General features: G+C 51.0%; 1 protein-coding gene across 1 annotated transcript, besides 6 other annotated features; it reads left to right on the top strand.

Annotated features, from left to right (window-relative positions):
• Positions 5926 to 6817: an enhancer, noted in NCBI's record as "H3K4me1 hESC enhancer chr5:134880491-134881382 (GRCh37/hg19 assembly coordinates)". NCBI's record gives its function as "activates a minimal SCP1, AML or CMV promoter by ChIP-STARR-seq in naive H9 embryonic stem cells {active_cell/tissue: H9 hESC(naive)}" and the evidence as "EXISTENCE:reporter gene assay evidence [ECO:0000049][PMID:30033119]".
• Positions 6818 to 7708: an enhancer, noted in NCBI's record as "H3K27ac-H3K4me1 hESC enhancer chr5:134879600-134880490 (GRCh37/hg19 assembly coordinates)". NCBI's record gives its function as "activates a minimal SCP1, AML or CMV promoter by ChIP-STARR-seq in primed H9 embryonic stem cells {active_cell/tissue: H9 hESC(primed)}" and the evidence as "EXISTENCE:reporter gene assay evidence [ECO:0000049][PMID:30033119]".
• Positions 7709 to 8600: an enhancer, noted in NCBI's record as "NANOG-H3K27ac-H3K4me1 hESC enhancer chr5:134878708-134879599 (GRCh37/hg19 assembly coordinates)". NCBI's record gives its function as "activates a minimal SCP1, AML or CMV promoter by ChIP-STARR-seq in primed H9 embryonic stem cells {active_cell/tissue: H9 hESC(primed)}" and the evidence as "EXISTENCE:reporter gene assay evidence [ECO:0000049][PMID:30033119]".
• Positions 9293 to 9794: an enhancer, noted in NCBI's record as "H3K4me1 hESC enhancer chr5:134877514-134878015 (GRCh37/hg19 assembly coordinates)". NCBI's record gives its function as "activates a minimal SCP1, AML or CMV promoter by ChIP-STARR-seq in primed H9 embryonic stem cells {active_cell/tissue: H9 hESC(primed)}" and the evidence as "EXISTENCE:reporter gene assay evidence [ECO:0000049][PMID:30033119]".
• Positions 15152 to 15667: an enhancer, noted in NCBI's record as "OCT4-NANOG-H3K27ac-H3K4me1 hESC enhancer chr5:134871641-134872156 (GRCh37/hg19 assembly coordinates)". NCBI's record gives its function as "activates a minimal SCP1, AML or CMV promoter by ChIP-STARR-seq in naive and primed H9 embryonic stem cells {active_cell/tissue: H9 hESC(naive and primed)}" and the evidence as "EXISTENCE:reporter gene assay evidence [ECO:0000049][PMID:30033119]".
• Positions 15654 to 17336, top strand: NEUROG1 (neurogenin 1). The gene has a single exon (NM_006161.3). The coding sequence runs from the start codon at positions 15928 to 15930 to the stop codon at positions 16639 to 16641; it is 714 nt and encodes a 237-aa protein (NP_006152.2). The 5' UTR covers positions 15654 to 15927; the 3' UTR covers positions 16642 to 17336.
• Positions 15785 to 16079: a silencer, noted in NCBI's record as "tiled region #242; HepG2 Repressive non-DNase unmatched - State 20:ReprD, and K562 Repressive non-DNase unmatched - State 10:DNaseD". NCBI's record gives its function as "represses a minimal TATA promoter and a strong SV40 promoter by Sharpr-MPRA in HepG2 and K562 cells {active_cell/tissue: HepG2 | K562}" and the evidence as "EXISTENCE:reporter gene assay evidence [ECO:0000049][PMID:27701403]".
• Positions 17337 to 21311: the final 3975 nt, after the last annotated feature.

Below are 21311 nucleotides of genomic sequence, written 5' to 3'. Positions count from 1 at the left end.
CCTTGTGGAGTTGGTGTGAGGAGGAAATGAGACGCTGTGTGCAACATCTGCACAGCGCTAGGCACATGGTAAGTGCTCAGCAGACACTTGTTCTTGTCCATGTTATGTGGCTATGCATAGTCTGTTCAAAATTGTCTCTGCATCCTGCTCCTGTGCTCCTGAAAGCTATTTTTTTTTTTTTTTTTTTGGAGATGGAGTCTCACTCCGTCACCCAGGCTGGAGTGCAGTGGCGCGATCTCAGCTCACTGCAACTTCCACCTCCCAGGTTCAAGTGATTCTCATGCCTCAGCCTCCCAACTAGCTGAGATTACAGGCGCCCACTACGATGCCGGGCTAATTTTTGTATTTTTAGTACAGACGGGTTTTCACTATGTTGGCCAGGCTGGTCTTGAACTCCTGACCTCAGGTGATCTGCCCACCTCAGCCTCCCAAAGTGCTGGGATTCAAGGCAAGGCTTTCTTAATACCCACTGGTCCTCCACAGTTCTTCCCACACTAGAAGCTCGTTCCTGCTCCAGAGTCTGCACCTGCTAGTGCCCGGCCTGGAATGCTCTCCCTCTAGCTTACCCCATGGCTGGCTCCTTCTCATCCTTCAAGGTCTCAGCTTCAAGTCATCTCAGAGTTCTTCCCTGCCACCCCAGCTGCGGTAGGTCTCTCCTGATTTTCCCCACAATGTCACCCTGTACATTTAGCACTTGCTGCCACCTGCTGTGATCAGAAGTGTGTATTTATGTGACTGGGGTCTGTTTTCTCATGGGAATGTGAGCTCCATGACAGCAGCTCCATGAAGTTTTCTCCAGTTTCCCAGCACCTCACATGGTGACCCCGGCCCCTGGGAGGCGCATCAGTGGCTGGCGGGTGTCAGGTGAGTGCATGGCCATGTGTAAGCAGAGCTGCATCTCGTTCACTGGCTCCTTGGCATGCTCCTGTTTTCCTCCTGTCCCCAGGCCAACCACCACCTCTCTGATGGCAGGAGTGGAGTCTTTTCCCACCAGCCCTCAGCTGACCCACCACCAGTGCTCACGGGGAAGAGCCAGGACTTAGAGTGCTGGGGAGCAACTCAGAGGGCTGCTGAGGACTTAGAATGGGGCCAGAGCTCCTCACACTCCCCCACCCCAAGTATACCTCAGGGTGCTTCCTGGGAATGATGGAGGTGCGCTCACAAGTGGCTTTCCTTAAAGCCAGTTCCAGGCCTCTTGCTGCTGATGCTGTGACCCAGGTGTGCCCCGCACTCAGCCACTGCTCTGTGCCCTCTCACTCTGAGGAGGCCCTCCTCTTCCCTGGCCCTGGTGAGCATTCTGATGTGGACTGGAAACCCTGTTCATGTCTTTTCCTACATTGTGAGAAGCTGCTTGCATGGCTGTTTTTCACAATGAAAAGACATATTTACTCTGGCAAGTGCAGAGGGTTCCTCTGAGCACACACAATATGATTCAGAGACTCCCATGGGTGCATGCTTGACACAAAATCACCCTATGGAAGTCAGGTCTTCCATATTCTGTCCACCAAGTCAGAAAACATCCTCATGCCCCATGTTCACTTTGGACACACCCCACTTAGAAGCACATAGCTTCACAAATGTGGAGCAAATCACTCACACAGGCTTCATTCTCCCCTTCAGACAGATTTGACTGGAGCTTCCCAGCTTCCATATGTCATGGCAGGGCAGTCACTTTATCATTTAAAACACGTTAGATCCATGTCCACATTCAACGACAAAACATACTGAGCACCTCTTACGTGGCAAAAGTTGTTCTAGACATTGGGAACATGAGGTAATAAGCTAAACAAGGTACTGCCACCATGTGGAATTCTCAGTTTAGTAGAAGAGGCAGACAAGGAACAGGTAAACAAATATATAAACTGCTCCCAGCTGACTTGCTAGTGGAGGCAGTGTGATGCGATGGGGGTGACTGCTGGGGCCAGAAGGGTGGCTTTGGCCAGGATCAGGAGGGCTTCTGAGGCCAGACCTGGAGACTGAGAAGGAGCAATACAGGGAGCACTCCAGGCAGGAGGAAGCACGAGTGCAAAGCCCCGGGGAGTGTGAAAAACGCAGAGAAGGCCAGTGTGCTGGAGCTCAGAGGGCAAAGGGGGAGGACCTGGAGATGAGGCTGAGATACCACCTCCCTCCCAGGTCAGCAGGGGTCAGGTAATCCAGAGCCTTGTTAATCACACTTAAAATGAAGACACAGAGGTATTCTAAGTGTAATGAAAAACTTTTGAAGGGTTTTAGGTGGGGAATTTAAGTGATCTTTTACCCAGAAAAAGTTGATTAAACAGCATGGCAATGAATGAATAAAAGAACTGAATGAACAACTTCTGAATCTATAAACATATGCTACCTAGGGTCTCTTGGTGCCAAGGTCATGCTGAGTTCTGCAGGAACATAGAGACAAGAAGCTCAGGACAGCCCACAAACTCTAGAACCATGAATGCCACACCAAACCGAATGTTCCCTCCACTGCTTAGAGAAACTGCCCATTTAGTTCTCTGGGCCCCTCATAAACTCGACCCCCTGTGTGGGTAGGGAAAACAGATTGGAGAGCAGATAGTTTAATATCACACATGGAGCTGCCTCCCCAAGATCTCAGCTGAAGGCAGTGCTGCTCCCAGGATCCTGGAGATCTCTAGCTGGTCTCCAAGTCCCTGGAGGATGCCTTTATACCCCTCCACCTCCCACCCTCATCATCTCTTTTTGACATTCAGAAGATGAGGCTCAAAAAGGGATTTTTTCCAGGTAGCAGAGGGAACCCAGACCTCCCAATTCTCACCAAGATAACAGGAACAGAGACCAGCTCCAAACACAGCAATGTCCCCTGTGTGCCCATAGTCAGGGCCCTTCCCCACAAGAGCAGCCAACCCGCAGACAAGCACAGACCTTCTCCACCTTCCCCACAGAGCCCTACCCACCTCCACAGCTGAGGACTGCCCTCCCTCACAGAGTGGGACTACGGCTTCCATCCCCACGGCCCCAGCACCTTGCTGGAGCTGGCCACAGAGCAGGTGTTTACATAATGGGGCAGAAGGAGGATGGTGAATGGTGAAGATCATGGGCACTGAAGCCAGAGAGCCCTGAGTTCCATCCCGGGCTCTGCTGCCTGCTGGCCCTATGACCTTGGACATGAGTCTTAACTTCCTCAAGCCTCAGTCTCCCCATATTTTAAAGGCAGACAAAATACACCAGTCACAGGTTTGTGTCTGGATTTAATATAATCCACATACTGAGGGCTTAGCTGAGTGTCTCCCTCACAAAACTAGTTTACAAATGGTTTTATACAAATCTGAATGGTGATGCTGATGATGGAGTCAGGAAGTCAAGCAGGACTGACACTGGCACTCCTGGTGCTCATGCAAACAGGCACCTGGGACATATTTGTTAAAGCCAGAAAGAAGGAAGACTGGGATGTTCTAGAAAGATTCCTGCTTTTCTAAACAAAGTTTTCTGCGTAGCCCTCAAATTAGCAGAAAATCTGGTCCTGCTAGGTTCCCAGCACTCTCACCCCACCCTGTGCCAAACCCTAAGAGAGCCACCTCCCAGATCCCACTCCAGGACACCTCTCTGGGTGGTAGCAGGTGTTGCGGTGAGCAGCTTGTGGTTTTGAGAGCTGGTATTGTCACCGTGACAACTCCCCACTTCTCTCTCCCTCAGTGTCCAGAGAAGAGGCTGGAGGCGTCTGAGGGAGCAGAAAGAGTATCATGTGGCCAGGGCTTTGGCACAGCTTGGTGACAACTAACTGTGGCCATGGGAGTGATCCGCAGCAGCAAAGGCGTGGCCAGGGTTTCTATCTGCCCTTGCCTGACGCCCACCAGCAGCAGGGGTAATTAGGGACCTCTCCTCCACAGATTACGGTGCCTCCATTTCCCATCCCACTCCACTTTTATCTCCTAAAGTCACACAACCACAGAATGGGTGAATGAACACCCACCCAGCAAGCCCTCTTCTAGCCAAGTGCTGAGCACCCATCACAGAGGGCCTGGGGCTGCTGGTGCCAACTTGTGGGCCAACTCTCAGGTTATAGGAGGTGGAGTAATCCTGGAGAAGTGGTGCAATCCAACACCCCATGCCCTTCTCTTCTCCCCTTAAGGTGAGGAAGAGCTATGTATGTGCACGCATGTATCCATGCATGTCAGCACCCATGCAGGCATGAACACCTGGTGCCCATGCACAAATCCATTCCCTCCACAAATATCCCTTGAGCGTCAACTATACTCAAAGGATATGAATGATGATGGTGATGATGATGAAGTCAAGAAGAGGGACTGACACTGAGCATCCTGGCCCTGGGCACTCCCAGTGCTCATGCAAACAGGCACCTGGAAAAAGCTAGGCACTGCCAAGCACTGAGGGTACGGAAAAGGGTGGTGCAGAAGAAAAAGGGGTAGTCTGCGGGCAGATGTGGAGAGGTCACCTTTGTAGACTCCACCCACAGGCATCTTTTTTCCCAGCACTCACTGTCATTGCTATTCCGATTCCAGTCATGTTGGGGCACTGGTGCCTCTCTATTGCATCCCCTGCCCCCAAAAAGGGCTATTGGATTAATTCATTCCACTGTGACCTGGCTTACTTAGATTGACAATGAGTAATGTCCTTGTGTCCCCAGACTTCGGGTGAACCCACAGTGCCCAGAGCTGGAGCTGCAATTGGGAGCTGCCTCTCTTCCTTATATAAGGAGCAATGCCAACTTTCTCTTTCTCACCAAGGAGCTGCTTTTCCCACCTTCCTTCTGTCTGCCTCACCTGGGTTTGTATCTTCCCCTCTCTTTTGTCCCCACCTTCCCCAGGCCTGGATGCCTGTCACCTGGTCCCTGCTTCTCTTTTACTAATTCTGTTTCAGAAATACTCCATAAAGTGTTCATCCAGGCCCCAGTTAACATCAGCGGGGCACTCAAAGAAGTGAAATCTAAGCATTGTCACTAAGGGAGTATTTCATTCAGAATGTCCTTTTCTCTGTCCTCATCTCCCAGCATGGGGTACAAAGAATGAGGGGGCAGCAACGACCACCCCACTCAGCATATCCAGATTGTGCATACATTTTTTTCCAACACACACTGCTAATTTGTGATTAGATGTTGTGGCTCTGCACCCACTCATGAGCCCCCAGGGTCAGGCAGCCCTAGGCTTATCGAGGTCTACGTCCTCGTCCTCCTGGCTGTCAGGCCCCAGCCAGAACGCTGTCCTTTAGGGAAGTCGGAGTGGGCGGGGTCCCCTCTTCACCCTCCCCCATCTCCACTTCAGATGCAAAGTGCACATATGGCTCATCTCCATCTTTGGGGGAGGTTCTGTCTAAAGTCCTCCCAAAGATTCAGATTGTATGACAAATCACGTTCTAGACTACCACGGGCAAGAAAGGGCCCAGGCATTTGCATCATTACCCCCAGACAACAGCTTCATTAGGCTGAAAGGGAGGTTTGCAGCCTCTCGAGCTCCGAGCTCCGCCACTGACCTGGGCCTCTCACTTTCCCATTGTCTGTAGGCTCCAAGGCTCTCGCTCTAAACCATATGGTCCATTTGGGCATCTCACACTGCCTTCCAGGGAAAGCAGGCCTTGGGAAGCACTTGGGGCAAGTTAGAGGCCTGCTGCAAGATCCAGGTGCGAACTCGCCCCAAAGTGTTGTCAAACTGGGCCAGAAGAGAGGAACCACCAGCGACCAGAGAAGGCTGAACCCTAAAAAGCAATGTGTGGGCCCAGGAGGGGAGGAGGAAGGGTCCTGCGCCAGAGGGCAAAGGAATTAAGAGCCTCAGTATTTGACCCCTCAGAGAGCAGGTGGTCTGTTGGCTCCATGAGTCTGACAGCATGTTAGTATGGAGACCCTGGGATAGCAGTGCTCAGGCTAAGTCCACCTCTCCTCACCCTGGCCCCCTCGCGGGCCACAAGTATTTGGAGATTTCTCAGGGGTCCCCAGACTACAGACATTTCTCCCGTGAAGCCAATAAGCAGATGCACACTCTGGCAGCTGGAGTGTGCGGTTGCCATTCCCCTTCTCCAGTCCCCAAGACCCTGAAAACCTTAAAAACCAGATTGTCCCTGAGGATACGCATGTGTCCAGTTTAAAGGGGATTTGGGGGGCAGGGCCGTGAAAGCCACCCCAGCCTCTATCTCTTCAAAATCCCACCACTTTGAAACTCCATTTTGCTCCAAGCCTTTGCAAGATTCCAAACACTTGGAATTAACCCGGAGGCCACCGCCATCCCCAGGCAGCCACAGGGGCCTGGTTTCCCTGGGAGAGAAACCTATCCAGAGCACGCCCTGACCCCCGGTAGCCCTGAGGCCGCCAGCCCTGGGAGCGCACTCCAGGGAAGGAATTCGTCCTGATCTAGAAATGGGCCGGTGCGGACCTCGCGGATGTTTCTTTAAGAGCAGGGGAAGAAAACACAATCTCTCCTTGTGGTGCAGCACTTCCACCCCCGCCAACGGGGCGGATTAGGGCCTGGATTAACATTTTAAACTCGGCCAGACTTTCTGACTCAAAGATCTCTGGTTAATCGTATTACTATCCCTGGGATTACTGCTTTACTCGCTGCAAAACAGATTCTAAAATCAAATTGATTAAAGTTCCCTCCTGTCTTCTCTTTACTCCTTTTGGGGCGATAGGGGGAGAGGCTGTAGCTTCTTAAGGTGACGACTTTTAAAATCGAATCTTACTTCGCATTTCTCTCCTTGCCCCTCCTATCCTTCCAGGCCAGGCAGCGGTAAGAAGACTGGCTGGCGACACGATTCCTTTTTTCCCGCCCACGTCAGCTCCTAGTTCCTGGTAATTTATCCCATATTAAAACTTCTTTAAGTAAGAATGGACAAGCATCAGCACCTGCTATGCAAATGCGGCCAAATCCAGCCCGGGCCGCGGGGCGTGCGCGCCCGCCGGACCGCGAGCGGCCATTCAGCGCTCCCAAGGCGCCGGCTCGACCCTTCATATGGAAACCCGGCGGGTCCCGACAGATTGCGGCGGGGAGGGGCGGGGGCCAGAATGCCCTCCCAACCTCGGAAGGCGCCCAGAGGGGACTATCTGCACCTCTCCAGTGGGCTTTTTTCAGCCATACTCCATTCTTCAGCCATCTTTGTTGTTTCCTTAACGAATGTCCTATTTTAGTGCCAATGCCCGTTTTGCCGGATTTCCCTCCAGAATTCATCCTTATTCTCCATCCCAGCTCTTCCGGAGCGGCGGCAGGTTTTGTTTTGTTTTGTTTTGGTTTTGGTTTTGTTTTTGTTTTTGTTTTGAGACGGAGTTTCGCTCTTGTTTCCCAGGCTAGAGTGCAGTGGCGCGATCTCGGCTCACTGCAACCTCCGCCTCCCGGGTTCAAGCGATTCTCCTGTCTCAGCCTCCCGAGTAACTGGGATTACAGGCATGCGCGTGTTGGTAGTTTTCTAAGCGTAACAACTTTCCCACCGCTTTTTGCAGGCGTGGTGGTCACCAAGGACTGTAGGACCTTGCCCCGAGGGTCCCAGGAATGTGGATGGTGTGGGGTAGATCGTCATTGCAGGCCCCAAATCCGTGTCAGGGGCTCGGGAGCCAGGCGCACTCCCCGCCCGCAGCCAGACGGAGGAGGCAGGCCGGGTGCTGGCGCGGCCGCGGTTATCCTGCCGGATAACAAGGATTAGTGCGTTGGGGACGTTTGAAGCCGTGTCTGTGCTCACGTGGCTGGAGGCCGCGGCGCGGTCGCCTCTCGTGCGGCCCTAATCCCCTCACGCGGCTCCGGGCGAGCCGGCCCCATCGGGGAACTGGAACTTGCTGGCCCAGAGTCCCGGCTCTCGCTCCACGCGGGCGCGGGGTCAGGGCGCCCACGCGGCAGTGCCCACGCGTCCCCCCGCGCGCCCCGCCGGGTTCTCCGAGGCCCCCGCCGTAGGAAGAGCCACGGCGCTAGGGTCGTTTGCTCAAGACTTGGGGGGAAATCCCCTTCTTCCAGCCTAGGAGCCTTTATTTGTGGCTGCATAAAAGAAATCCAGAAACGCCGGGTCTCCCCAGCCAGAGCAAAACCGAAGTGGCGGCGGCGACGGCGGCGGCAAGGGTGGGGGCGCGGCCGGCGTCCCAAAGAGATGCAAAGTGATAAATACATTGTTTAGAGGCTGCCCGCTCGGTCCGTCCCTTGGGGGCATAGAAAATGAGGCGCTTTCCTCCCCCTTTAACTCGAGGGGAGTACTAATAATTCATGTATGTTATAATTCTTCACTGCCCCTAAGTAGTCTGGGAAAACTGGAAGAAAAGAAAATGCCAGAAAGTTATGGTAAAACTTAAGATGCGGCCGAAGTCGCTTTCTTTGCCCCTGCTGCGAGTGTTTGAATAAGAAGAATGCTCCTGGACTGTAACAAGCAAAAAGAATGAAGAAGACAAAAGATTTCCAGAAAAAGGTTTAGCTAGAAGACAAGGCAAGTGAAACTGAAAGGAGAAAAAAAGCTTTTACAATGGAACAATAAGTGTACTAATCGCTTTGATATATTATACAAGCCCAAAGACCCAAAACATTGTGTAATTATTTATAAATGACTTCTCCACTCCTGTGTATAATGCAGAGGAAAGAATAAAACTGCAGGCCACTCTCTAAATTATTTCTAAATAGACCTGGTTCAAAAGAAGGCAGAAGTGTTTGAAATAAAATAATTAATGGTGGATTTTATGGTTGTCTCATTAAAACATTTTAATTACTACAAACAAAATGCATTTGTATTTGAACCCAACATGAATTTATGTAGCTGAGTGTTAAGGTAGAGAAAAGCAAAAAGAAAACACTTAGCAATTTTTGTGTTTATTTCTGAATTCTTTCCATAAACCAATAGTCAGATTCCATTAGGATACATTTCACTGTGACTTCTTTTGTACACACAGAAGAAAACACCCTCACACAGTTTTCCCACACTTGACCCACAAGCATCCAGGGATGCGGAGGGCCGGGGGGTGGGTGGGAATGTGTTTATAATCTCTAGTAAAGACCTTCTCAAGAATTCAAAAATGAAGCTGGCAAAAATGAAACTGCTCAGGAAAATTCACCCTGGCTTTAGCAACTTCCTGTGGCAGGTGCAGCCTGGATTTGGGGAGCTAAACCTAGTGACAGCAACAGCAGGGCTATGGTTAGGGTTTTTGTTTTTATCTGAGCACAGAAGATTTAACTTCAAGTACTCTAAGAGAACCAAACTCAGAGGCTTTGAAGGTGGGTCTGGAAGGATTCGCAGCCTCTAGCAGCTGATGTGAAAATGACTGCAGGCCTCACTGCTGAGGAAGGGTGGGGCAATCACCTCCACCTACCCCCTCTTCAGGGCCTGCACCCTCCCTCGTGGGCCCTCCCTGCACAAGTGTGCACACCCCCCTCGCCTCCCCCACTGGCCTTTGGGCACAAAAAGGACATTGTTTCACCCAAGACTGGCCCTAACCACGAACACACTTCAAACCTTGGCCAACCCAAGCACATGCTGTCCCCCCATACCAGTGCAGGCTAGAGAACCCCAATCAAACTTGACAGATGCTTGTGGAAATAATGTGTTTGGCTGCAGAATTGCCCAGTGTCATTTGGGGAGGCATTTTGGACATAGCACAGAATAAAGGAGATGTGTGCCAGAGCTTCCGCTGGAGCCCAGGACTCAACCCGCATGTAGGCAGATTGCACTCCACCAAACCCATCAGCAGACAATGCTGAGCAATATTCAAGCCGACATCTCCAAATTGGGAAATGCATACAGACGGCACTGTATTTAGCAGGGCAGGGGCCGAGGGGGCCTCCACGGATTTCTAGAAACCATGGATAATTTGCCATTTTCCTTGCTCTGTCACTGAAAGACCCCTCTGTTTCCCCCCTCCTGCCTCGTTTCCCCCCTCTCTTTTGCCCCCCCTTCCACAACTGTCATGGGTCATCAGTAAAGAAAATAGAGAATTGTTTCTCTTTTCCAACCCCACCCTTCTTCTCTTATATGGAAACCCAACTGCATATCTTTGGGTGTATCTGATGCACTGAAAGGAACCTGCGAGCTCTGTGTCCAGCCTCATCATTCATCCCTTCCTCTTGAGGAACTGCATCTTTTTCTTCCTTCTTTTCTATAAAGATCACATTTTCTTTCTAAAATGCCACCCACAAAACCAATACAAATGCCCCCCAGATAGCTTCAGAAAGAAAATCATCATCGAAGTCAAGCAGTCTTGTTATAAAGGGTGGCCCTCTCCACAACTTCACTTTGTGTAAAACTCTCCACAACTTCACTTTGTGTAAAATTCCCCAACAAGGATGCCGCTGTAGATATCAGCATTGCCCAGTGGCCTTACAAACTCGGTGCAGTGCATTGACTGCCCTGTCCCCAATACGTGAGTGGCTGAGTAAGGTGCCCACAACATTCCCGTCTCCTGTCATAAGCTGCATCTGCAAGTTCATGTGTACTGTAAAAAACAAAACAACTTTGCTTTGAAACCCCACAAAACTCAGGTCTACATGGAAGTGCCACAGCACTCTTGAAATTAATATTCTATCTAACCAACTGGAGGGGATGGAGAATAATCAATCTGAGCTAAAACAATTTAGCAAGGAAAGTATGAAATGTGATAGTGTCCCCTTCCCCTCAGCCCCTTCAGATTATCATCTCAGTACTTGTTATTACAGGACACTAACCTTCCAGTCCAGTTCCTGTTACAGCATCTCTTAACCCCAGGTTGAAGTGTTTCTGATAACCAGCAGAGAGGCTATTTGGCTCAACCTTGCTTTTACAAAAGGGCTGGAAGGCTATGGACTCTAACTCCAAACGAGGACATACACATGGTCACTGAGACACTGACAGGGTAGAGGAAGATGCTCCGTCACAAATTCCAATCTGGATCCATCCCTGGATCTCTATGCCTACAGGCACTATAATTTGATGGTCACTTTAAAATCCTGAAATTGCCTTGTGAACAGCACAGACTCCTTTATATTTTTATTTGTTAACCACATTGATTTATTATATGTAAACTTTTATAATTTACCACCATTTCTCCCCTATTTTGGCCTTTATTTAAAAAATAATAATAAACCAAGTCTCTCAAGACCCTGGAAGCATCCAACACCTTGCTGCACCCTGAGAGTCCCTCCCTCTCACCTCTCAAGAAAGCTGTTTCTTCATCAGTGTGTCGATGCCAGAAAGGCCTTCTTGATGATGAAGTAAAATCACATCCCTGCTGGTCCCACCAGAGTCTTGAGTCAGATCCCTAGGGCTGCCTGGAACAGGTATGCCCTTAGAGCTCATCTTAGCTGTCACATAAATGTACTTGACCTGCTTCAAGAGCTGAGGCAAGCACAGGATAGGAGGGTGGTTGCTAATGCAAAATATCGATTCTAGTGTGAATAAATTGGCTCTAGGTATCAGTCAATAGTGACTTTAGCATGTGCTCCAGAGATTCTGATTCCAGGGGTACGGGGTGGGGACCCCCACCATCACTACTACCCCAGGTAACCACAGTGTAAGAAGCTCCAGCTTAATCCTTAGTCCCTTGGAACATCTGCCCCACCTTGGAACATCTGGCTACCCTCCCCTGCCCCCCAGCAGATTGGCAGCTGGATGTCCACACATCAGGCAGAACACCTGGTATGGTGCTCACCATAGCAGCGCCTGCTGTGGTTGGATTTATTACATGCCCACATCACCTTCTATTATACTCTGAGAATGAGGGTACACTCAGGTACTATGCTTAGAAGGCTTCGAGGGGCAGGAGAAACTTTCATCTTCCCTGGCAAGCATGCACATCCTTCTAACTGTGGCCTGGCCTTTTTCTCTTGAGGAGAGGCTCTGGGCCTCTTAAGCTGCCCGTTCATTCTCATCCTGCCAGGGCTCAGTTCCATCCTCAGTAGATCACTTATAGGAGGGCCCCCTGCAGATGCACTTATAAAAAGCACAAGGGGTAGGCACTAACAGCCAAGAAGGAGCCACAACATGCCCTGCCCAAGAGCCAGGAGCAGGCAGGGCAAGGCTTGGATGCTTGCCTGCTCAGCTCTCTAAGGTTCAGGAAAGGGAGTGAAGCATGGCAGGAGAAGGCACAGACCTACTGCTAGCTCATAAGGTGCGTCTGGACATATTTGACAAGGTGCCCTCTCTGAACAGGTGTAGCCCATGTCAGGGTGCATGGTTTGGCGGGTGGTAGAGAGGCTAGATTTCAGCCCTTACTTGCCCCCTCTACCAGATGTCCTTGTACAGTGAATGACTAGAACAATTTTAACAGCCCTGCTCAGAGAAAGAAGCAAGAGGAGGAGATGGAATGGAACAAGGAAGGCTGCCCTGGCCATTCAAGGGCCACCATAACTGCCCCCTTACCCTCTTTCCACTGGGTTCACCCAGAAGCCCTATCCTCCAGACCAGCACCCACATAGCCACTATAGTAACCCCCAGTCCTCTCTTTCCTTAAATTGTCTATTCGCATCCCACCCATCCTTCAAGGCCTTCGCGAGTCCCCCCTCTGCCAAGAAGCCTTCCCTTTGGGAGGTGCACAATGCTCTTCAGATCTGCTCCCTTAATAGGCCCTCGACACCTCTCTAGTCCTAATGCTACATCTCCTCTCCTTTAGGACTATAGGCCTGCTTCACACTCCACAGAGCACCTGACACAGGGCAGCATGCAGTAGGTTCTCCATGTATATTTGTTGATTGACTATGATGGAAGAACATAGAGTAGGGCCTGAAAGGACTCTTGAGTCTGGCCTAGTTTGACCACCAGCGATCCCTGGGGTAACCTGGAAAAAAGACCTCCCCATCTCCCACCTCAGTTTCCCATGTATGAGGTGCAGTGGATAGATGAATAATTTCCAAAGGTTCTGCTGGCACTGAACCCTGGCTTGCAAGACTCAGAGCCCATGATACCCATCAGCCAAGTTTATCACCCCTGTCACCCCAGTGTCCAGCACAGTGCCTGGCCCAGCACAGGCAATCAACATAGCCAATGGATTACTTCAAAATAATACAAGGATAATTCTCTATGCTTCAGCAACCTGAGGATTTAACTTGGTGTTTTATTTATGAAACCGCAGACACTAATCCTGGCTATCTGAAGCAGAAAAGCCCCACTAACGAAAGGCCCGCTATGGGAGGGCTCATGCAATCAGTGGGAAGGCTGGAGAACCAGGCTCAAAAAACAGATGGAACAAGGGCTGGCCCTGGGAAGAGTTCAGACAGGATGTCCACTGGTTCCTGGCCACCTCTTCCACCACTGGTCACTGGCTCTCCCGGGTTGTTGCCATGACACAAGTGAACTCTAGACTGTCACCAGCTCTGAGCCTAAATTGCAAATGGGGCAGCTAACTGCCTGTACTAAAATCTTTTGGCCACACCCTAATTGCTAGGAATGGGGAAGGGGTTCTCATGCATTCAAATTTCTCAACAGGAAAGCTCTTCACGTACCTGTCAGCCAAAAAAGTGACACTGGCCAAACCAATTCTCTCATTCAGGAATTTGGAAAACCATTTGTTGTAGTGGGTTGAAATAGTGGGCCTCCATAAGATATGTCCACCCAGAATCTCAGAATGGGACCTTATTTGGAATAAGCATCTTTGCAGATATAATGAAGGCAAGGGTTGCAAGATTAAATCATCCTGGATTAGCTGGGCCCTAAATCAAATGACAAGTGTCCTTACAAGAGACAGAGAAGGAGAAGACACAGAGAGGAAGGCCGCATGAAGAAAGGAGGCAGAGATTGGAGTGACACAGCTGCCAATCAATGAATGGCCAAGATGGCCAGGAGCCACCACTAGAAGCTGCAAGAGAGGCATGTCACAGATTTTCTCTCAGAGCCTCCGAAAAGGAGCCATCCCTGCCAAAAACTTGCTTACAGACTTCTGGCCTCTTGAACTGTAAGAGAATGAACTTCTGTTGCCTTAAACCCCCTAGTTTGTGGAATTTTGTTGTGGCAGTCCAAAGAAAGGAAGCTGACACAGGGAGAGAAACAGAGGTGGGGGGCAGAGAGAGGACCCTTGGGCTCCTGCTGGTTTACACAAGTCCTCGAAGCCCTTGAGTTCTTGAGAAGCCCCCGTATCCATCCAACAACTGCCCTTTCCTGAGTGAGCTGGTCGAAGCCACTTTCTGTGACTTCTAATAAATCTCGAGCCCTTATATATGACTGTGTCCTAGCCTTCCACTGAGATCAGGGGTACCTGCAGGGTGCAGTCGGGGAAGGGGACAGCTGGGCAGAGTCCCCTGAGCCAGAAGGCAAGCGCTGGTCAGTGAGTCGAGGTGGGAACTGCCACTACACAGCCCCCTTTCTCAAAGGGGCCAATCCCCCCCCAACCCAAAGAGTCAGCTAGGCTCCCATGGCAGCAGGCCAGGCATCCGGCCTGAGGCTACCACTTGGATATCAGGTGGGGGGCAGGCACTTTGCTGAAAGCTGCTCATTTTGTTTTTAATACCCTCATCCTATAATCGAGTGCTGTTCCTTACTATTTATCCTCCAAGTACAAAGTTGGGTGATGTCTGGGCCCCTGTGGCTCCTGGGTGAGTGTAGGTGACAAGAGAAAAGTAACTCCTGACATGCAGAGGGAAGACCTGCTGGAATAGGCGAGTTTAAGACACCGAAGGCGGGAGGGGGTTTGGAGGAAAGGGGTTCCACTGTCACCTGCTGCCCTCCAGGGGCCAGCTCTCTCTCGGGCCAGGGGAGCTGGATCCCCTGGCTGGCTCACCCTGAAGAGGGCCACAGAGGCTGCAAGCAGGGCTCCAAGAGACGGTGTGCAACGGATTTCTCCGGGCATGGGGCAGGCAAGGTTTCAGGAACGCCAAAGAAAAGGAAATTCTCATATTAATAATTATATTCTCATATTATTATTTATATAAATTCTCATATTATTAATTCTTATTAAGAATCTTGAGGTGACTTGTGGGCAGAGGTGCGGAGGAGGGTGGAGAAGGGAAGGGAAAGAAGGGAAGGGTGAGACCAAGACTCAAGGCAACCTGGGAAATCACCCGATCCTCTTTTCCACTCTCCTCTTCGCACTCCCCAGATGAAGGTCAGATTCTTTCCCGTTTCTTCATCAGCCTGAACGGAGCAGCGACACTTATCCTTGCCCTGCGCCCTGTGCCTCTGGCATGGCCACTCTCCAGTCTATTTGAAAATGATTTTCACCCTGTTCAGCGGATGCTGCACATTTAGTGTTCCACAAACATTATATCTGATCATCCTCCACAGGGTAAACTTTTGTCTCATCTTACAGGTGGGGAAAGCAATGCTCAGGGAAGTTAAATTACTCGTCCAAAGTCACGCGACCACTAAGCAGCTGGAGAGGGGATGCGAACCCAAACTCCAAGTACCCTCCAGGTTTCCGCAACTCACTGGGCGGCTCACACTTTCGCGCTCGCGCCCCGCCTCCCCGTCCCACCCCAGCGAGGGGCGCCCAGCCCGCCCCAAGAGGAGCGTGCCTCGGCCGCTAATCGCCCGCCGACCCCGCCTCTGTTTCACTGCCTGGAGACGCCCTGGCCAGCTTAGCCCGAGCCGACTCCCGGGGCCGCGCGACGCCGCCGATTGGCCGGCGGTAATTACGGGCACACTCCGGGTTGGGGGAGGGGCGATGGCGGCCTCCCGCGAGCATAAATTATGCAAATACCCGGGCGCTGCACGGGGATGACCTGCCGCCTCGCTCCATTCACCCGGGCTGCCGCGGGGGCGGAGGTGGCAAGGGAGGGGGGCGCCCATTGTTGCGCCGGGTACTTAAGGGGTCCTGAGGCCAGTCGTGTGCCACACTCGGTGCTCACACGAGCTGATCTGATCGCCGGCGACATCACTCAGGAGACCGGCCGGGCGCGTGGCCCCTGCAGGCGAGGCGAGGAGGCCAGGCCAAGTTCTCCGTGCGCCCCTGCACCCTTCCAGGCTCTCGCACCCGCAACTGGCACAGAGTAACAACCCCAGGCTGTTGGGAACGTAAGTGCGCCCTGGCGGCTCTGCCCTCAGTCCGGGCTGCAGCGCTCTGAGCGCCTTTCTATCTGTCCGTCGGTCCTGCACAGCGCAACGATGCCAGCCCGCCTTGAGACCTGCATCTCCGACCTCGACTGCGCCAGCAGCAGCGGCAGTGACCTATCCGGCTTCCTCACCGACGAGGAAGACTGTGCCAGACTCCAACAGGCAGCCTCCGCTTCGGGGCCGCCCGCGCCGGCCCGCAGGGGCGCGCCCAATATCTCCCGGGCGTCTGAGGTTCCAGGGGCACAGGACGACGAGCAGGAGAGGCGGCGGCGCCGCGGCCGGACGCGGGTCCGCTCCGAGGCGCTGCTGCACTCGCTGCGCAGGAGCCGGCGCGTCAAGGCCAACGATCGCGAGCGCAACCGCATGCACAACTTGAACGCGGCCCTGGACGCACTGCGCAGCGTGCTGCCCTCGTTCCCCGACGACACCAAGCTCACCAAAATCGAGACGCTGCGCTTCGCCTACAACTACATCTGGGCTCTGGCCGAGACACTGCGCCTGGCGGATCAAGGGCTGCCCGGAGGCGGTGCCCGGGAGCGCCTCCTGCCGCCGCAGTGCGTCCCCTGCCTGCCCGGTCCCCCAAGCCCCGCCAGCGACGCGGAGTCCTGGGGCTCAGGTGCCGCCGCCGCCTCCCCGCTCTCTGACCCCAGTAGCCCAGCCGCCTCCGAAGACTTCACCTACCGCCCCGGCGACCCTGTTTTCTCCTTCCCAAGCCTGCCCAAAGACTTGCTCCACACAACGCCCTGTTTCATTCCTTACCACTAGGCCCTTTGTAGACACTGTTACTTTCCCCCTCCCCTAGTCAGCAGGCAATAGATGGGGCCCCAGCTGCCGCCTCGGGACCCCCTCTCCAGGCGGAGGGAGGAAGCGGGAGCTTTAAAGCAGTCGGGGATACCTGAGCCGCTTGTTAGGTCGCCGCACCCTCGCGGCGGATGTCTCTTGGTCTGTTTCTCCGGCCCTCAGCCCAGCGCCCCTCCTGCCCGCCCCTAGACGGCCTTTCCTTTTGCACTTTCTGAACTCCACAAAACCTCCTTTGTGACTGGCTCAGAACTGACCCCAGCCACCACTTCAGTGTGATTTAGAAAAGGGACAGATCAGCCCCTGAAGACGAGGTGAAAAGTCAATTTTACAATTTGTAGAACTCTAATGAAGAAAAACGAGCATGAAAATTCGGTTTGAGCCGGCTGACAATACAATGAAAAGGCTTAAAAAGCAGAGACAAGGAGTGGGCTTCATGCATTATGGATCCCGACCCCCACCACTGCAGACTCGCTCTAGGAAGAACTGGAGACTCTTGCTTAGCTATTCAGGCACAGGGCTGGAGAGTACTTTAATTTATTCAAGATGCTTCATTCATATGAAAATGTATTTTTGTACATAAAGAGTTTATTCTATTATGAGCTATCAAAGTTTACATTTTTGTACTGCAGACGCTTCATGTAAATAAAAACTAAAAATAAGTCGCCAAGTTTCTTGCCTAATATTAGTGTCTCTGGGGCTTTTCTTGCTTTTCCCTGCTGGCTCAACCACTAAAGTGAAACACTATCCCACTCACCTCCAAAGCCTCTGTTCCTGTTTCAAAAACAATTAAAAAATAAAACGCACCTGATTTCCACCAAGAAATGGATAAAGACAGACTAGGGCATTTGGGATCTATCATTCCTTTCACCTTGTAAACACAAGGGAGATCTTTCAGGCTCCCCATAAGCCAATTAAGACTTTTTAGTAGGGAATTAGCCCCGGATCCGCAGCTACCTGTTGAGGTAGGGGCAGTGGGAGAGTCTTTCTTTTGAGGAACTCCACATCAGCTGGCTCTGTGTTTCAAAGAGAGGGGATTAAAAAGATCAATACAGTGTGACCACTGGTTAGGAAGTCCCAGTGACAGGTGGGCCTAGGCTAGGCAAGCAGAAGGGTCCACTCTTATAACAGCCTATTTAGAGGGGGAAATTAATTTGTAAACAATGCCTCCAAATTGTTGTCCATTGAGGCCGAGTTCACCCTGGCTGTGAGGTGTGGGATGAATCATGCTGGTGTGGTGTCCTGAGTGGGGTGTGTAGCTGCCTAAGATTGTGAGCTAGGGTGCCTGCATTCTTCTCAACCCCCATCCCCCCAACACACACACACACACACACTTAACACCCGCTCCGGCCCATAGTGGTGGGGAAGGGGGGGCACACAGAGGGAGGGCTCGGGTGCAGGGCTTGCTCAGCCAGGCCTCAGGGGCAATAGCTAAAGCTTTCATTTGATGCCAGAGAAATCAGCTGCCCAAACTCAGTGGGGATTTTTCTGGCTGCAGTGTGTTTGTCTGTTGTCTGACAATTAGCTAACAGCATCAGCTAGTAGCAGTTTTTGTTTTAAAATTTTAGAATGTGAGTAATTACAAGAGGTAGTTCCTAAAATGCTTTTACTATTTCCTCAGCTCACAAGTTACCCCACATTGTTAAGACCAGATCTCAGCCAGGAATGGTGGCTCATGTCTGTAATCCCAGCACTTTGGGAGGCCCAGGTATGTGGATCACTTGAGCTCAGGAGTTCAAGACTACTGTGGACAACATGCAAAAGTTAGTCAGCATGGTGGTGTGCACCTGTGGTCCCAGCTACCCAGTAGGCTGAGGAGGGAGGATCACCTGAGCCCAGGGAGGTAGAGGCTGCAGTGAGCCCTGATGGCACCACTGCATTCCAACCTGGATGACAGAGTAAGACCCTGTGTCAAAAAAAAAAAAAAAAAAAAAAATCTTTTTTTTCCCCACTGGATTCTTCTTTTCATGAATATAGTGATTTGGTGGCAAGGGTACAGAGGAAGATGGGAATGGGTTCAGGAAAATGTGTCCTGAACACAAAGCTGGTACAGTGAATGATATTTATAGAGAAAATATATTTGTTTAGGAGGCACATAGAAGCAGAGGGCCAGAGTACAGTCACTGATAGCAGGTTCTACTTATGGAAGCATTTTCCCTCCTCACATGTTATCATGATGAGTTGGATCCACAGATCCATACACTAGGTCCCTGAAGGCATCACTAAGCCCAGCCATTGGCAAGGCACCCTCCTTCAGACACAAAGGCTACTTTGCAGAAGGTTCTGGAAGTTGAATGCTTTCTCTAAGTGCCCCCAGAGAGACAAAGTCATTCAAGAAAATCTTCAAATCTCTTCTGCTAAAAGCTCCAAGGAAAAAGTTGTGTCTCTAAAATAACCCAGCCCAGGGTCTCACTCTGTTGTCTGTCTCAGAATTGATTCATTTGACTAGCTTTGTGTCTTCTGTTTTCCTAGCGCAAACAGCAAAATGGTCTGCATCAGATTTTCTGCTCTCCCTTGCCTAGGATGCTTGGAAGTGACTCGCTGTAGCTTTCTGAAGGGCACGGGCCAGATTCAAGAACGGCAAGTCTCCTATGGAGAGTCCAGCCGTAATATTGGCACACGTGTCTGGGACAGGGGAAGAGAGCAACAGATTGTGTCCTGATTATTGTCCAAGATCCTAGGGGAAAGCACTGGCAAACAGCTGGAGCAGGAGCTTTGCCTCATACAGCTGCATATGTGCAGCACTGGAAGCAGGGGGGAAGACATGTACCACTGAGACTGAACATAGCAAACCGTATCCTCAAGTTTGTTGTCACAATAGGCTCACAACTCAAGATGTATGACCCAGAGCACCTTTCCAGGACCCAGAGCACCTTTCCAAAAAGAAACGTCTTTAACAACATCGTTGGTGGGGGGTATCTCTACTCCCGCCGGTTAATTCTATTCTTCTAAGGAAGTAAGCATATATGTGCAGCTCTTGGAGTTCTCAAATAGGGGAAAAGAAGAAAAGTGATTAAAAATGCTTATCCCCACCTCAGGGACCTCTTTCTTCCTGCAGCAAACTCTCATTCATCCACAGGCACCTGTGGAGGTAGGGGGTGGGGTAGGGGATCAGGGGTGGGGTGGGAGTAGGAGAAGAGCAGGCTGGTTACTAAAATATCCTAAACAATGATAGAACATAGACCTCCCTGCTGACAGCCATGTCTCTATCCTCCACATAGTCTTCCACTAAGCAACCAGGAGGCACTTCAGAAGGCTTCTTCATTCTCTACCTTTATCTCTACATTTATTTTTGCCCTGGTTTAACATATGTATTTATTGGCTTTTGTTTTTTTTTTGAGACAGAATCTCACTCTGCTGCCCAGGCTGGAGTGCAATGGCATGAGCTTGGCTCACTGCAACCTCTGCTTCCTGGGTTCAAGCAATTCTCCTGCCTCACCCACCCAAGTAGCTGGGTGTACAGATGTGTACCACCATGCTCGGCTAGTTTTTTGTACTTTTAGTAGAGACAGTGTTTCACCATGTTGGCCAGGCTAGTCTTGAACTCCTGACCTCAGGTGATCCACCTCCCTCGGCCTCCCAAAGTGCTGGGATTACAGGCGTGAGCCACCACACCCAGCCAACATATATATTTGTATACACTGCTTCCAAGCCTTTGTGAAAGCAGGGAAGGGAAGATTAGGACGAACTAGTAAAATAAAGATTCCACCCATTCTCTTATTTCTTTAGTGACTCCTCATCAAGCCCCTACTATGTGCTGAGCACCTTTCCAGGCACTGGAGTAACCAAGACAGACAAAGTTCTTGGCCCAAAGGAGCTTTCATTCTAGTGGGGAAAGGCAAAATAAATTTATGAAAGATTGTGGTAAGTTCTGAGGAGAAAAAATAAAGTAAAAGAAGGTGACTCTGGAATGCCAGAGTGGGAGAATGGTTGCTGTTTTAGAAAAGGTAGTCAAGGAAGGTCTTTGAATGTAGTTACATTTAAGCAAAGGACTGGATGAAGACAGGGAGTGGGGAAGTCATGCCAATATCTCTGGTGAGGGGAGCATCCCAGGGAGAAGGCCCAGCAAGGGGAAAGCCCTGGCCATGCAGTGTATTAGAGGGGCAGCAAGGAGGCTGACATGGCTGGAACAGAGGGCAAGCCATGGGCAAGCATGGACAGAGAGATGGTGATATCATTTTGCTGTGTCCCTACCCAAATCCCTTCTTGAATTCCTAGGTGTTGTGGGAGGGACCGGGTGGGAGGTAATTGAATCACGGGGGCAAGTCTTTTCCATTCTCATGACAGTGAATAAGTCTCATGAGATCTGATGGTTTCAAAAAGAGGAGTTCCCCTGCACAAACTCCCTCTCTTTGCCTGCTGCCATCTATGTAAGACATGACTTCCTCCTCATTGCCTTCCACCATGATTGTGAGGCTTCCCCAGCCACATGGAACTGTAAGTCCAATTAAACCTCTTTCTTTTGTAAATTGCCCAGTCTCAGCTATGACATTATCAGCGGCATGAAAACTGACTAATACAGATGGGGTGCACAGTCAAATCACGGTGAGCCTTGTAAACTATTATAAGGACTTCAGGTTTTTTCTCAAGGTGATTGGAGGGCTGAAAACAAAGGTGTGCTATGAATTACCTTATAT

This window comes from Homo sapiens, chromosome 5 (genome assembly GCF_000001405.40).
Source record: "Homo sapiens chromosome 5, GRCh38.p14 Primary Assembly".
Taxonomy (NCBI): Eukaryota; Metazoa; Chordata; class Mammalia; order Primates; family Hominidae; genus Homo; species Homo sapiens.
The sequence above is the reverse complement of the archived record's forward strand: the minus strand, read 5'-3'. Positions and strand labels throughout refer to the sequence as shown.

Coding starts and splice junctions, on each gene's coding strand:
- NEUROG1 (NM_006161.3), top strand. CDS start 15,928: ATGCCAGCCCGCCTTGAGACCTGCATCTCCGACCTCGACTGCGCCAGC.